The 16,624-nt window shown below is 36.0% G+C and overlaps 1 protein-coding gene across 15 annotated transcripts in view, besides 1 other annotated feature; it reads left to right on the top strand.

The window, feature by feature from the left end:
• CEP128 (centrosomal protein 128) overlaps window positions 1-16,624 on the top strand; it is a 482,534-nt gene that overhangs the window by 320,344 nt on the left and 145,566 nt on the right. The gene's annotated exons all lie outside the window — the stretch shown is intronic.
• Window positions 473-642: an enhancer, noted in NCBI's record as "experimental_37671 CRE fragment used in MPRA reporter constructs". NCBI's record gives its function as "activates a minimal promoter by MPRAs in K562 erythroleukemia cells, with activity observed for the introgressed 14:81104946 variant allele {active_cell/tissue: K562}" and the evidence as "EXISTENCE:reporter gene assay evidence [ECO:0000049][PMID:34662402]".

Here is a 16,624-nt window from a genome sequence, read left to right as displayed (position 1 = left end):
GGAAATAGAATAAAGAATATAATATTAATACAGATTTTTTTTGGTTAAATACCATTTTTTAAGTTAGTTCACTCCACCGTTGATTTGTTATTGCTTAACATTGTATTAAGCAATGTATGTCTGAAACATAATAATGCAAATATTAGACAGGGAGCTGCATTCCATAATTTATTCTTCTCATCTCAACTTTCAATACTTCCTTGTAACCAAATGAAAGAAAAAGACTTCTTTTTTTAACCTAAGTGGTTTCGTAATGAGTCATTGACTTCTAAAACCTAATAAAGGGGCTACTGGAGTTGAAATTCTGAGTCTTGATCAAATTCAGAGATAGTATTTGAAATGTTAGGAGCTACCATTTTAATGACCTGTGTTCAGACTACTTAGTCAACTGATGGCAATAGAAAGATTTAGGCATTTCCTTATATTCAGTGATTCACCCAATAAACATTTACTGAATTCCTACTATATGCTAGTCACTGCCCCTACCGTGTTGGAATTCGCTGTCTCATTGTAGAAGGGTAAAAGACATCGTATATAAAAAATAAATCAGGTGGTATGAAAAGTGTTCTAGAGTAGAATACAGTACGGTAAGAAAGTAGAGGGATGAGGGGTCAGCAAAGTCCTCTCTGATAAGTTGACAATGGAGCAAGCATCTGAAGGAAGTGAACTACAGAGCCCTACGCACATCGGGGGAAGAGCATTCCAGGTCCTCTGTGCCCATAGATTGGGCTTCGTGCACAGTTTGAGGGACACCAGGAAAAATTAAACACAGCATTGCTTCTTTGGGATAATAAGAAAAATATACCAGTGGGTTTACAAGTCCCAGATTGCAAAATTATATAACATGTATTATCTTTGCACACAGATGGGAGAGTTTTACGTGGCCTAAAGTATTCAGAGAATGCTTTATGAAAGAAATGACACTTGGAGGAACTATACGATTTGGCCATTCATTGTTCTTTATTTAGTAAACATTTATTGAAATATGAAGAGAAGGAAGAAGGGCATTCCAGAAAGGAAAGAGATGATTAGAAATCCAAAGGAGAGTGTATTCGTTTAGTTCCTGTGGCTGTGGTAACAAATTATCAAAAACATATTGGCTTAAAAGAACAGAAATGTATCCTGTCGTAGGTTTTGGAGGCCAGAAGTCTGAAGTCAGTTTTGCTGAGCCAAAATCAAAGTGTCAGCAGGACCTGACTCCCTCTGAAAACCCTAAGGGAGAACCCTTTTCTTGCCTCTTCCAGCATCTGGTGACTGCTGGCATTTCTTGACTTGTGGCCACGTCTACATACGCCCCTCTCTTGTTACACTGTGTTCTTTTCTGTGTCTCATCTCTCTCTCTTTTTCTTTTATAAGGACACTTGGGATGACATATGGTGCCCAACTGGATAATCCAGGATAACCTCATTTCAAGGACCTTAATTTAATCACATCTGCAAAGATGTTACTGATAGGATAACATTCACAGGTTTCACGGTTTAAGACCTGGTCTCTTTTTAGGGGCACCATTCAGTTTTTATAAAGAAGATAAGCATATTTAAGTAATACAGTGATTTATCTGATAAAAATGTAAGAGTTCTTATCCGGAGTAGTTTCTTTATGCATTTAGAAACTATTTACTGAGTGTCTGCAATGGATACATTGGTAGGCAAAAAAGCAAACGCAGCCCTTAACTTTATAGAATTTATAAATGAGATGAAAATTGAGAAAATGAGATGGATTGAATTCTCCTTTCAAGGTCTCATCTTTTTTCTGTCCTTGCATCTCCTTCTCTGGCTCTTCTGCTTCTCTTTTCTACTTTTAAGGATTTTCCTGATTACATTAGGTCATCCTCGGTAATCCAGGACAAATTGCCATATCTGGAGGTCAACTGATTCACAACCTTAATATCCCCTTGCATAACATGGCTCCAGGGATATGGGTATCTTTGGGGGCCAAAATTCTGCTTACCATGGGTAGAATGGACCATGTTAAAAATTTTAGTTTTATTCTAAGAGCTCTGATTGCAGGGTTTTAAGCAGGCTGGGAATACATGGACAGATTTGTATTTTCTTTTCTTTTTTTTTTTTTTAAAGACGGAGTTTCGCTCTTGATGTCCAGGCTGGAGTACAATGGCCCGATCTTGGCTCACCACAACCTCCGCCTCCTGGGTTCAAGCGATTCTCCTGCCTTAGCCTTCCTAGTAGCTGGGATTACAGGCATGTGCCACCACGCCTGGCTAATTTTGTATTTTTAGTAGAGACAGGGTTTCTCCACGTTGGTCAGGCTGGTCTCGAACTCCCGACCTCAGGTGATCTGCCCGTGTTGGCCTCCCAAAGTGCTGGGATTACAGGTGTGAGCCACCGTGCCTGGCCAAATTTGTATTTTCAATGGAAAATTCAGTAATGTGGAGAAGAGTTGGGGGGAAAAATGGAAATGGGGAGGCCATTTAGGAGACTAATTCCAGTCCCAGGAAGAATATAATATTAGCTGGGGACAATAGTAATGGAAATGGTGAGAAACATCTTGATTTGAGAGTTTAAATCTGAGGAAACTTGTGATAGATTAGAGATGAGGGGTTCATCTCTAATTCTCTGGTGCAAAACCAAAAGACTGTGTGGTGCCATTGCTGGCAGAGAGAAAACTAGAAGAGGAACAGATTTTAGGGGGAGAATAACATGTGTTTCTGCAAAGCCTGGAGGCAACAATAGTAGAAGAAAAAAAAGCAGGAAAATGAGAGGCATTTTGAGCTGCATAACTGACTGTATTTGAGAAACAGAGGAGAATCTTTAGACTATCTAAATAGGTTGTATCTTTATGCTATAGAACAACTTGTCTTCCTAAAGAACTATGATGTTGAGTGAGCGCAGGGAATGAATTTTAGGCTAGGGGGCAGTAGTCTCACTTATTTATAAGTTTTACTAAGTCATTAGGTTTCTAACATTCCATGCAACTATTTAGCAAATAGTCACTGACTACCATGTATGCAAACAGCTCCCATTCTGTGGAGTAATATCAAAAAAGCATAAGATGCAGTCATAGCCATAGAATATTTCAGAAAACAAGTGAACAAATAAGTAGCAATAAGTACACTTGAGTATCCCTGAACCAAAATGCTTGGGACCAGAAGCGTTTCAGATTTGGGATTTTTTAAAAATTGGATTTTGGAATATTTGCATATACATAATGAGAAATCTCAGGGATGGGACCCAAATCTAAACACAAAATTCATTTATGTTTCATATACACCTTATACACATAGCCTGAAGATAGCTGTATTTTTCCCTTGAGGACACTGAATAAACTGTGTGTTGTGCACCTGCATTTTGACTGCAGCCTATCACGAAGTCAGGTGTGGAATTTTCCACTGTGGCATCATGTCAGTGTTCAAAAAGGTTCAGATTTTAGGGTGTTTTGGATTTCAAATGTTCACAGTAGGGAGGCTCAACCTTTAGGAGGAAACTAACAAGTCACCAGAATTAAGTTCCTTTGTTCGCTGATAAATCTGCTTTACATAAGACAATACCTGACACATAATGTATACTCCTTATTAACTGGATGGATTGATTAATTTATTGAAAACCTACTAATGTCAGTCATTGTTATTGTGTGGCGCTGTATCCTCTACACAAGAAGAAACTCTTCTTGCAGCGTAAATTTTAGCCTCAAGGACTATATAACAAGTTAACAAATGCAATAACAGGGTCATGTTTCAGTTCTGGGATGACACTAGAAGGACCTAGTTTTTTGTTTATTTGGGGGTTTTTTTGTTCTTTTTTTACCCCCAGTGGAGTTGGCATTTGGATGCATTGGGACTGCGTGATAGTGATGATGTCAATTCATCTTATAATGTACTGTGCATTGAATTCTGTGTGTGGGGTCTATTCTCATTCAAAATCAAAGAGAAATTCACTTAGCAAGTGTCTCATCTATAATTGAGTATGGACTCCAAGGAGAACATTGCAATGAATTTTCACGGACAGATTGCGGAAGTGATCAGAGGTGTATGAGATAAAGCCAGAAACATTTCTATAAGGCTCTTGAGAAGCAGGCATTATAGGTAGCTAGAACGAGCAGGCCAAATAAAGGGATTGATCAGAGAGAACTGGCTTCTACGAAAAGAGGAGATATTTTAGAAGACACTGTACTAAGTTATAAATTTGGAGGCCTGGTCGTCTGGGAGCAAGGTCATATATTAGTGGCCTACCACAAACATTATGGTGAACGCACACTGATAAACCAGGCAGTGGGAAGCAACTGGTGGTTCTTATCTGAAAGAGAAAATGTGATGAAAATTATATAAGGGAAGTTATCCTGACATCTGTGTTGGGAATATACCAGAGAGGAGAGAAAATGTAGAGAAGGAAACTGTTGGAAGGCTTTTGTTACAATTCAGGCATCGGGAGGTAAGCTGAAGTGGTACCTGTGGAAATGGAAAAAAAGACATGTGAGTGACAATTGTAGGAGAATAGGGAAAAGTGGGGGCAAAACACAGAGATAAAATTAACTAAACTTGCGAGGTTGGCTTCTCCAAATTAGAAGTTGGGAAAAAATGATTACCAGGATAAAGGGAGAATAACATGTTAGTTACATTTTCTTATTTATACAACCTGGAAAAAATGCCTACTAAGCGTAACTCACCAATTGTGAAATACAAAATATTGAAAAATATATTCAAAAATATTACTTTGCTTTTCTTGTTTTCTACCTGTGTCTCCAATAAACATCTATATTGATATTAGTACCACTTTCAAAACTTTTAAAAATAGTCTTATGTCCTTGGAGAACATTTTTATTGCTTTAAAACTTTCCATCCAGAAATGCCCTTCGGGAATCTGGCATCAATCCAAAAAATGTTGTCAAGAGGAAAACATTAAAGACTCACTCATCTATTAGAATGTAGTGAGTGTAAAGTCAAAGTTGGCATTATGGCTTTCCAGCAAGAATCTTTGTTTCTCAACAGTTATTCCTCTGAAAGCAATCTAACAAGTACATCTTAAACACCAATTAATCATGACTTGCCTAAACTTAAATCTTATAGTAATTCTCATTTTCTGTAGGATGTAATCTAAACTTAGTAACGCAGCAGGCAGGATCCCTAGTGACCCAAATTTCTAGCCTCATCTCCTTCATATATGGCTTTCCAGTCGTGGGAAATTGTTGATATTTCAAATATTAAGGAAGATATGCATGGCTTAGGTACTTCCTACCTTAGGCATGAATACCCAGGAAAGACTCCATGGTCCAAGAGGGCCCTGTACATAGCTCTTGATGAATTCATTGTGGTCCAGGGTTTGATACTTAGACATAGGGATTCACATTTTTTTAATACCAAGAATGGATGGGACACCTCCCATGGGCACACATTTATTTTAACTAGAAACAGGTAGTCATTTATTTAATTATTTATTGAGGACCTGGTTTGAACCAGACAATGAGCTATGCAAAGAAGATACAGTGGTGAATGAGATAAGTCTGATCCCCACTTTTTAAAATCCATAGTCCAAACTGTGGATGGGAATACGTAGTGGGAAGTCTTGCTTGTCCTAGGTGTGGGAATAGGGATGCAAGAGGCAGATGAACTGATTGTTAAGATTAGAAATCTTGTTGGAGAAATGAAAGAACTTCAGTTTGGCCCTGGCATATATGAGAGAGACGGAGGAAAGCAATAGAGAGAGACAGAGGTGGCAGAAGACACTGGAGAAGAAGGCAGGCCATAACAGAAACAGGAGAGCTTGTGAGCTCTACAAGGGGTATTAACTTGATCATGGGGCCACTGTGAGTGACAACTTTTATGCTTTAAGCAGGACAGAGATATGAAATATTTACAACGGAAAGTATTACTATTGACATATCGGACCCCTGTGCCAATGTATATTATCTCTCTTGAGGAAAGTTTCAAAAGAAGCTAGTTTGTTTTGTTTTGTTTTTGTTTGTTTGTTTGTTTGTTTCTAGGCAGGGTCTAACTCTGGCACCCAGATTGGAGTGTAGTGGTGGCAGTCACGGCTCAAGGCAACCTTGACCTTCTGGGCTCACGTGATCCTCCTGCCTCAGCCTCCAGAATAGCTGGGACTACAGACACACATCACCATACCCAGCTAATTTTTTATTTTTTTGTAGAAACGGAGTCCCACTATGTTGCCCAGGCTGCTCTTGCACTCCTGGGCTCAAGCAATCCTCCCACCCCAGCCTCCCGAAGTACTGGATTACAGGTGTGAATCCCAAACCCCATCCTATTTTTAATTTTTAAATGCACACGTAGTGAGCACTAAAACAATAGCCCTTTCACTCATTCTTAGTGCGTATTTATAAACTGGTGCATGAATGTTGGAAAATAACTCACATCATTTTAAAAAATTGAATGTATGCACTTGCCACTTGACTCAGCAATTCCACTCCCAGACATACACCCGTGAGAAGCTTACACACCCGAACTAGGAGATATGCACATAAGTAGTCACCATTTGTAATTGCAGAGTAATTGGAAATGACCCACATGCCCATTCATGGAAGAATAGAAAAACTAGGATATATTCACAGAGCAGAATACTAAAAAACTGTTATAGTGAATGCACTATAATATATATAGCATGTTATATTATATAGATAATAGATTTTATATATTATATATAGTATGATGGACTCCAAGGATAACATTGTAATTTTCATTATATATGTAATCTGTATAATGCACTAGAATGTATAGTATATATCATATGTATAATATACAATAATATACTGATATATATGTACCATATTATATAACATATATACTATATGCAGTATATACAGAGTATATTATATAATATTTATACTTAGTATATATAAACTCACTAACATGGTAAAGTCTCAATAGTATTATGTTGAATGTAAATAGCAAGTCAACAAAGTACACATATAGTATAATTCTATGTATACAATACTAAAAGACAGGAAAATGAAACAATGTATTATTTAGTGATGTGTGCATACATAGAAAACTAAAAAGAAAAATACTGAAGGATAGTTGTCATAGTATTTAGCTATCTTGTGACTCTTCTGTGTTAATTATTATGGAATATGCTTGCTATTGCTTTTCAGGTATATAATTTTATACATTATAGAAGCAGCACCTTTTTAATCAGGTGACTGGTAAGAATTCAGAGTACAGAAGAGCTGAATAACACATCAGCTAGTAATATGGACTTTAGAGTCAGGTCAACCTTAGTTCAGATTCTTCCTCTGTCTTAGTAATTATGTAATTGTTCTAGGTACTTTGGATATATCACTGAGGGGGAAAAAAGGTGTCTTCATGCAGTATACATTCTAACTATTGAAAATAAATTCTTAAGAATTGTCCTTAATATGGTGAGGTCCCTGGAATACAGTTTCTGTGTTTTATTCATCTTTTTAATATCTGACACCTAAGTCTTGCACAAAGTAGATATGTTTATGGAATTGAATTGATGAGAATGTTTATGAAATTGAATTGTATTACATGAATAAATGACTGGTACTTTGCACTTTGATAGAACAAGAGAAAATACAAATTGCTTCAGGCTTTGTCGGTCAGTTACAACATCAAATCAAAGATTAGACTTCTAGCACTTCTTTACTCATTGATCTTTGCAGATACCGAATCACATATAGAAACAAACAGTAGTAGTGTTATCTTTGAATATAAAGAATGGAAATAAGCATATTAATGGTATGTAAGACTCTTCATAGCCTGTAATATTTGAATTTTATCTGCTATCTCGCTAAGTTCTTTAGACCAGTCATTTTAATTTCAGTAAGTGTACAGCATTTTTTTACTTCTCTGAAAACTGCATTCTCTTCCTTCCATCATTCTAAAAGCTATTCCTATATATCATGCAATTGCTGAGTCTTGTAATAGTTTTCAAAGTTAGATGGCAATGTAATTTTTATATCATGTTTATATTGTGCCTATGTGTGTGGATAGGCATAGGTGGATATTTCTGGGCTAAAGACTCTACTTAGTGTTCATCAGATTCTCAATGGAGATGGTGGCTAATTTGTTGATGAGCTTTAAATTCTTTTAAAAATCATGTTATTATGAATAACAATAGAATGACAGTCTTTGCATATATATGATTTTATACATTTCTGATTACATTCCTCCAAGTGGAATTATTGACTCGAAAAAGCATGAGTATTTTTTAGTTTCTTAATACAAAGATAAAAATTACCCTTTGAGAAAGTAGGCACTGCATGTTTTCTTTTACAGTTGCCCATGGGTAAAAAACAGAAGCCCAAATAAAACATGTTATGGACAATTATTTTGACAGCGTTTGTAAGTTTACCTTCTGTTCATATTACATAAAGTAACATATTACAATGCGTGCTGATGGTGACTTTTGTGATTCTGTATTACAACAGAGATATGGCTTTGTCTTTTTGCATCTAGATTGGATAACTAATTTTCGTTATATTGGTCAGTCCTTACACTATAAAAACTTGCAGAGGTTCTGCCCTGAAAACAAATCATATGAACTTAACAGAAATATTTGGTTGTTGGCTTAGGGAGCTGGAGTTTTTTTGCCTATACAATTCAGAAGGAATAATGTATATTACTGTATCAAGTGAATTTTTATTGTAACTTGTGGTTTTTTCCATATGACTTAATTTCTTGCCAAGGCAGACTTTGGGGTATTTTTTTAGAGCTTCTTTTTCTGCTAAAGAATCTTTCATAATGTAAACCGTTACACTGACTACCCATAAATACTATTTTAATGAATTTACCTCACATCTAAGTGTAAACTCTAATGCCTATAAAATTTTAAATATGAAATATTATGCCACATCATCATACTACTTAATCTTGGTAACAAGTATTCAATTCAATTTACTTACAGAATTTTATGATTTCTTAAAAATAGTGGGTTAATTTACAATGAATTGCTTTGAGTTTATAGACTGTAATTTTCATTCATTACTTTTCTAATGCCACATAAGAGAAGTATCCACCTTAGTTTGTAAAAGTATGTGAATATTTCAGTGATAGTTGATTTTTATCTACTTTTAAACCACTAGTATAACCGATACGTCTACATTGACCACTACTAGAACAAAATTGAACAAAGCAGAAGGGTAAATAACAGTTATATGATAATATCATCTAGATTGGGTTTCAAGGGAAAAAGAAAAATTAAAATATCCTAAAATTTTATGTTAGATGGCATGATTTTAGGAACTTACAAGCTACATGAATTCATCATGGAGTTTATTGGATCAGTGGATAGCAAACCACATGACTTATATACATTCAATTCTCTCTTAAATAGATTTTTCTACTTAAAACCAATTCAAAATGTTTTGTTACCAGGGCACCTAGTTCTCATGTTATTCCTAGGACTATAGTATCCCAGAAATATGTGACTCAAAAGTTACAGAAAATCAGATTGAGTAAGTCACTGATGGAAAAGAAAAGATGAAAACAAGGGCCAAAAACCTCAAACCAATTAAAATCAACAAACAATAAAAACCACATAGAAAAACTTCAGTGCAAACCCTAGGCCTATAGAGACTACACCTTTTATTAATGTACATTTAAAAAGGCTTTACTTTGTGAAATAATTTTACTTAGATCCTTTATTAGTGACCGATTTCTAAAATTTTATGTTTCCCAACAGAGGGTATTCCTACCTTAAAAAGAAAAAAAAAATATATTACTGGAGTGTTAAGGATTACTTTTAACTTTTGAATTTGAGAACTCCTTCTCAGAGGAACTTTTTGTCATTTTCATACCTGTGAAATATAAATAAATACATAAAAGCCCTCTATTTCTCCAAAAAGGAAAAGAAAATGCAATTTATCAAGTGTTCACCTGCTAGATGTTTAACACACTGTTAATCTTCACTACAACTCTTCAAGATACAAATTCTTATGTATATTTTACAGATAAAGAAACCAGTCTCAGAAGACTGAGTTTGTCAAAGACCACACAACTCACATCGCTGATCTCTAGTATCAGAATCAAGCCCTTACTGAGAAGACACAGCTCCATTTTTTCAATTGTTGCTAATGGCAAAGTCATTTGGAAAGAAAGTAGTGAATTGTAGAAACTATTGTATTGGCCTGAAATCTTGATTGAAGTGAGTTAAACCCGTTTGTTTTTTTTTTTTTTCTTAAACAGGCTTGAGTTTAAAAAGGGAGAGTAAGGGAGGTATTTATTCACTTAGGAACTAAAAATACAAATGTAGTCTAACTGTGGCACAAGAAAATTCATTTGTAACATCTAAAACGCTTACCCCACCATCTGTCAGCCCTTTTATATTCAAAGCTTCCCTTGACTTAAACTTCATTTTCACCCATGCTGCCTGTAAGAAGTGACTATACATATATATATGTGAGCTATAGGCTCACATCCTACTATCTTAGCTAGCAAGAGCTTACTTATCAGTAGCTCCGGTGAAAGTCCAGGGCTGTTGCTGCTTGAGTTACCTAATCAGGTATGTTACCCTTAAACCATTCCCTGTTGCCAAAAGATTGTGTTACTCTCATTGACCAGGTTTCAGTCATTTGTCCAAAGCTAAAATAGACAGCGTAGTTAGCCCTATAATAACTTCATATTGCGAGAGAGGGAGAAAGGTAGTTGTGCGGACGCTTTTTAGGAGAAAGGGGGAAATGGACAGGCAAAAACAGCAGATGTCCATTCTAGCTATGTATTATGTTGGGAATTTAGCTTGTTAAAGTCATGTCAGTTCATAGTTTGAAATTAGTTTAAATATGATAAAAGACACTCATTTCTTTAGCTTTTACTGCATGTAACCAATTTTGCAAAGTCCATTTCCTAATTTGATACTTGACACTCTATCTAAAGACATGCCAGTCAAGCTAATAAAATGTACAGTAGTGTTTTAAAAAGTGAGGAAACTGATAAACAGATGGCTATATGGGATGTTTCTAAGAATAGGAAAGGAAAGACTTTTTGTCACATTTCACTATTTAGGATAACAGATGCATTAGTCTGTGTTTCTAAATAAAACTTCAAGCACATGTCTGAAATCATCTACTTACTATTCAAATAGAAATTTCCCTTTGGAGGTTAGTTTGATCTGTCAAACCACCATATGGGTCTGTAATAGTATAAAGTTCTCTGAATTTTCTGTTCTTGCAATTTAAGCTTTTTCACTAGTACGCTTACTCCCGAAGCTAGACTGCCTTCAAGAGAGCTGTGCTGAGGATATTTCAAACTGTTTTATACACACACACACAGCCTGAGTGAGATGAATGGGTTAGGTCACTTGAAAAACTTTTAAGGGAATTAGAATACAATCTCTGGTATGGGACTTTCATTTTATAGCCCAATGAGGTTATTGCTCTAGCTCTATTACATCTAACACCAAAAACCTCAGTGAGCAGACATGGTTTTTACTTCATTAAGTAGGCTTTTTAAAAATGGACTTTCTACCTTCTGAGCCAAAAAAAAAAAAAAAAGAAAATAATAATTAATTAAAAATAAAAATGGACTTTCTAAATTGCTTTTCTGAGTATTTTAATATCTCATTTTATTCTTCCAAACCTGCCTGTGAATAATTTCTAAATATTTCTCTTATGTACAATCTAAATAAACATATAACTTGCTGACCTTATTAGCAGTATATCTACAACAAATGATATTCATTTAATGTATTATTCATTCATGAAATTAGCCACCAAATGTTAATTGAACATCTACAATGGGCCTTACAATGTCCTGCCAACAGCATTAGTAATGAGGTACTGTACATAGGTGGACACTTCATGTGATGCGTTCTTACATCTTTGAGCATGAATATTTATTTTAATCACGTCTAAGAGTCTTTCAACAAGGTTCTTACATTTCTTTATTTTCACTTACATTCTTAAGCAGAATATGCTGAGCATTTATTTAATGACTTGGGACAGTTGTGCTCAATCTTGATGATTGTACTGTAATGCAATAATTGTCCTCACCATTAACTGGAAATACAGCACTGCTCTTGCACAATTGATTCTAAGCTATTATGTTCTAATATTTTCTGTGTCTCTTCCCTTCCTTACTCTGAGATATTGCTTCTTGTAAAAATCAGGGCATTTTCTGTTACCAGTTTCCCAGAATCTCCATGTACCCATGTGTAACTTATTTTTCTAAATATGCTGTGGGTCTAATAAGTATCTTGTCAGGACTGTATGGAATATAAAAGAAAAGTCATTAATCTCTGAGAAAATCCTGAGGGTTTCAACTGTGGTTAAAATGTATGCTTGATTTTGGGGGTGGTGATGGGGGGACGAAGTCCTGCTCTGTTGCCCAGGCGGGAGTGCAATGGTGCACCATCTTGGCTCACTGCAACCTCTGCCTCCTGGGTTCAAGCGATTCTCCTGCCTCAGCCTCCCAAGTAGCTGGGATTATAGGTGCCCGCCACCACATCTAGCTAATTTTTGTACTTTTAGTAGAGACGGAGTTTCACCATCTTGGTCTAGGTTTATTTTCTTGAAGTCAGGAATCTGAAATTGGCTTCACTGGCCTAAAGTTAAGGTGTTGGCAGGATTGGTTGCTTCTGAAAGCTCTGAGGGGAGAATTCTTTCTCCTGCCCTTTTCAGCTTCTAGTGGTTGTCTATGTTCCTTGGGTTGTGGCCCCTTCCTCCATTCTCACTCCAATCTCTGCTTCTGTCACTACATTGCATTTTCCTCTATGTGGTCAAGTCTCCCCTGTCTCACTCTTTTTTTTTTTTTTTTTTTTTTTTTGAGACGGAGTCTCGCTCTGTCGCCCAGGCCGGACTGTGGACTGCAGTGGCGCAATCTCGGCTCACTGCAAGCTCCGCTTCCCGGGTTCACGCCATTCTCCTGCCTCAGCCTCCCGAGTAGCTGGGACTACAGGCGCCCGCCACCGCGCCCGGCTAATTTTTTGTATTTTTAGTAGAGACGGGGTTTCACCTTGTTAGCCAGGATGGTCTCGATCTCCTGACCTCATGATCCACCCGCCTCGGCCTCCCAAAGTGCTGGGATTACAGGCGTGAGCCACCGCGCCCGGCCCTGTCTCACTCTTAATAAGGACAATTGTGATTACATTTAGGGATCTCCTGAATAACCCATGCTAATTTTTTCATCTCAAGATCCTTAAAATCTGCAAAGTCTCTTTTGCCTTGTAAAGTTATGTATTCACATATTCCAGGAATTAGAACCTGACTATCTTTGGGGCTGATTATTCAATATACCAGTGTTACCATTTAGTATTTTATGACTTTTTAAAGAGTAATACAGGCTCACTTGATATTGGCATGAATGAGAGAACTAATCTGATATGGTAAAAATTTCTTCTGTACAAGAGTAACAAAAAGAAAGAAGAAAGAGAGAAAGAAAGGAAAGAAAGAGAAAAAAGAAAGAAGGGAGAAAAAAGAAATAAGGAAGAAAAAAGAAAAAGAGGAAAGAAGGAAAAGAGAGGAAGGAGAGGGAAAGAAAGAGAAATGAAGGAAGGAAGGAAGGAAAAGGGGAAGGGGAAGGAGAGGACGGAAGAAAGAAAGATTATAGGAATAAATTTAACCAAGGAGATGAAAGATCTCGATAACAAAACTACAAAACACTGACGAAAGAAATTGAAGAGGACACAAAAAATGGAATGACATCCCAAGCTCATGGATTGCAAGAATTGATATTTTTAAATGACCTTACCACCCAAAGCAATCTACAGATGCAGTGCAACACCTATTAAAATACTAATGATATTCTTCATAAAAATAGAAAAAAAATCCTGAAATTCATATAGAGGCATGAACAACCCAAAAACCTCAAATAGCCAAAGCATTACTGAGCAAGAAGAACAAAGCTCGAGGCATAACACTCCCTGTCTTCAAAATATACCACAAAGCTACATTAACCAAAATAATGTGATATTGGTATAAAAACCAATACCCAGACCAATGGAACAGAATAGAGAACCGGAAATGAATTCACACATTTACAACTAACTGATTTTGAACAAAGTTGCCAAGAACATACATTCCCCAATGTGTCTCGTTAATAAAGTGTTAACAAAAGTGCCTCGTTAATAAAGAGTTCTGGGAAACTGGGTATCCATATGTGAAAGAATAAAACCAGACCTCTGTCTCTAACCATATACAAAACATATTGACTCAAAATGGATTAAAGACTTAACATAAGGCCTGAAACTATAAAATTACTACAGGGAAAGAAAACCTAGGGAATATACTTCAGGAGTTTGGTCTAGGCAAAGATTTCTTGGGTAAGACTTCAAAACTATAGACAACAAAAGCAGAAATAGACAAAACGGACTATATCAAACTGAAAATTTTCTGCATAGCAAAGGAAATAATCAACAGAGTGAAGACATAATCTGTGGAATGGCAGAAAATATTTGCAAACCATTTATCTGACAAGGACTAATATTCAGAATATGTAAAGAACTCAGACAACTCAACAGAAAACAAATAATCATTAAAAAATGGGCCAAGGGTCTGAGTAGACATTTCTCTAAAGAAGACACACAAGAAGCCAATAAGTACATGAAAAAATGCTCAACATCACCAATCATCAGAGAAATGCAAATCAAAACCACAGTGAAATATCTCATCCCAGTTAGAATATTTATCATCAAAAGGCAGAAAATAACAAATGCTGGCAAGGATGTGGAGAAAAGGCAACTATTGTACACTCTTAGTGGGAATGTAAATTAATACCTCCATTATGGAAAACAGTACGGAAGTTCCACAAAAAAACTAAAAATTGAACTACCTTACAATCAAGCAATCCCACTACTGAGTATTTATCCAGAGGAGAAAAAATTAGTATATCGAAGAGGTACCTGCACCCCAATGTTTATTTCAGCTCTATTCATAATAGCTAAGACATGGAATCAACCTAAATGTCCATCAACAGATGAATGGATAAAGAAAATGTGTTATATATGCACAATGGGATAAAAAAGAAGCCATGAAAAAGAATGAAATCCTGCCAGTCCTGGCAACATGGATGAGCCTAGAGGACTTTATGTTAAGTGAAGTAAGTCAAGCACAGAAAGATAAAGACTGCGTGTTCTCACTCATATGTGAGAACTAAAAAAAAACTTGAGTTTGTAGGAGTGTAGAATAGTGGTTATGAGGTACTGTGAAGATTGAGGAAGGGGATGATAGGAAGAGGTTGGTTAACAGACAAAGCTACAGCTAGATGGGAAGAATAAATTGTAAAGTACTGTAGCAGTGTCAGGTGAATATGTTTAACAATAACTTACTGTATATTTTCAAAAAAGCTAGAAGAGAGGATTTTGAATGCTCACCACAAAAAGAAAGGATAAATGCCGAAGATGATGGATATGTTAATTACCCTGATTTGCTCATTACATATTGCATACATGTATCAAAATATCACTCTGTATCCCATAAATGTGTACAATTATTACATTTCAACTGAAAATAAAAGGAAAAATCTACTTCTGGAAGGAAATGACTTTTTTTACATTAAAAAATCCACTTTTTGCTAATTAGAGTATCAAGCTTTTAAGTTATTTGCTTTTTTTAATGATACTGCTTTTACATATTGAAGATTCAAAGGAATAGTAATTGGACCTATTTCCTTTTTTTTTGTTTTATGACATTGGCAAATATATATTTTTATGTAAAATATAAATATAAGGTATAACATTTATATTTCTGACCAGAGCTGATGAAACCTGAAACCATGCTTTAAATTTTTTTTTATTTTTAGGTTTTCAGTTTGTTTATTTATTTATTTATTTTATTATTATTATACTTTAAGTATTAGGGTACATGTGCACAATGTGCAGGTTAGTTACATATGTATACATGTGCCATGCTGGTGTGCTGCACCCATTAACTCGTCATTTAACATTAGGTATATCTCCCAATGCTATCCCTCCCCCTTCCCCCCACCCCACAACAGTCCCCAGAGTGTGATGTTCCCCTTCCTGTGTCCATGTGTTCTCATTGTTCAATTCCCACCTATGAGTGAGAACATGCAGTGTTTGGTTTTTTGTCCTTGCGACAGTTTACTGAGAATGATGATTTCCAATTTCATCCATGTCCCTACAAAGGACATGAACTCATCATTTTTTATGGCTGCATAGTATTCCATGGTGTATATGTGCCACATTTTCTTAATCCAGTCTGTCATTGTTGGACATTTGGATTGGTTCCAAGTCTTTGCTATTTTGAATAGTGCTGCAATAAACATACATGTGCATGTGTCTTTATAGCAGCATGATTTATAGTCCTTTGGGTATATATCCAGCAATGGGATGGCTGGGTCAAATGGTATTTCTAGTTCTAGATCCCTGAGGAATCGCCACACTGACTTCCACAATGGTTGAACTAGTTTACAGTCCCACCAACAGTGTAAAAGTGTTCCTATTTCTCCACATCCTCTCCAGCACCTGTTGTTTCCTGACTTTTTAATGATTGCCATTCTAACTGGTATGAGATGGTATCTCATTGTGGTTTTGATTTGCATTTCTCTGATGGCCAGTGATGGTGAGCATTTTTTCATGTGTTTTTTGGCTGCATAAATGTCTTCTTTTGAGAAGTGTCTGTTCATGTCCTTCGCCCACTTTTTGATGGGGTTGTTAGTTTTTTTCTTGTAAATTTGTTTGAGTTCATTGTAGATTCTGGATATTAGCCCTTTGTCAGATGAGTAGGTTGCGAAAATTTTCTC

The sequence above is a fragment of the Homo sapiens genome, chromosome 14, assembly GCF_000001405.40.
Source record: "Homo sapiens chromosome 14, GRCh38.p14 Primary Assembly".
Lineage (NCBI taxonomy): Eukaryota > Metazoa > Chordata > Mammalia > Primates > Hominidae > Homo > Homo sapiens.
The sequence above is the reverse complement of the archived record's forward strand: the minus strand, read 5'-3'. Positions and strand labels throughout refer to the sequence as shown.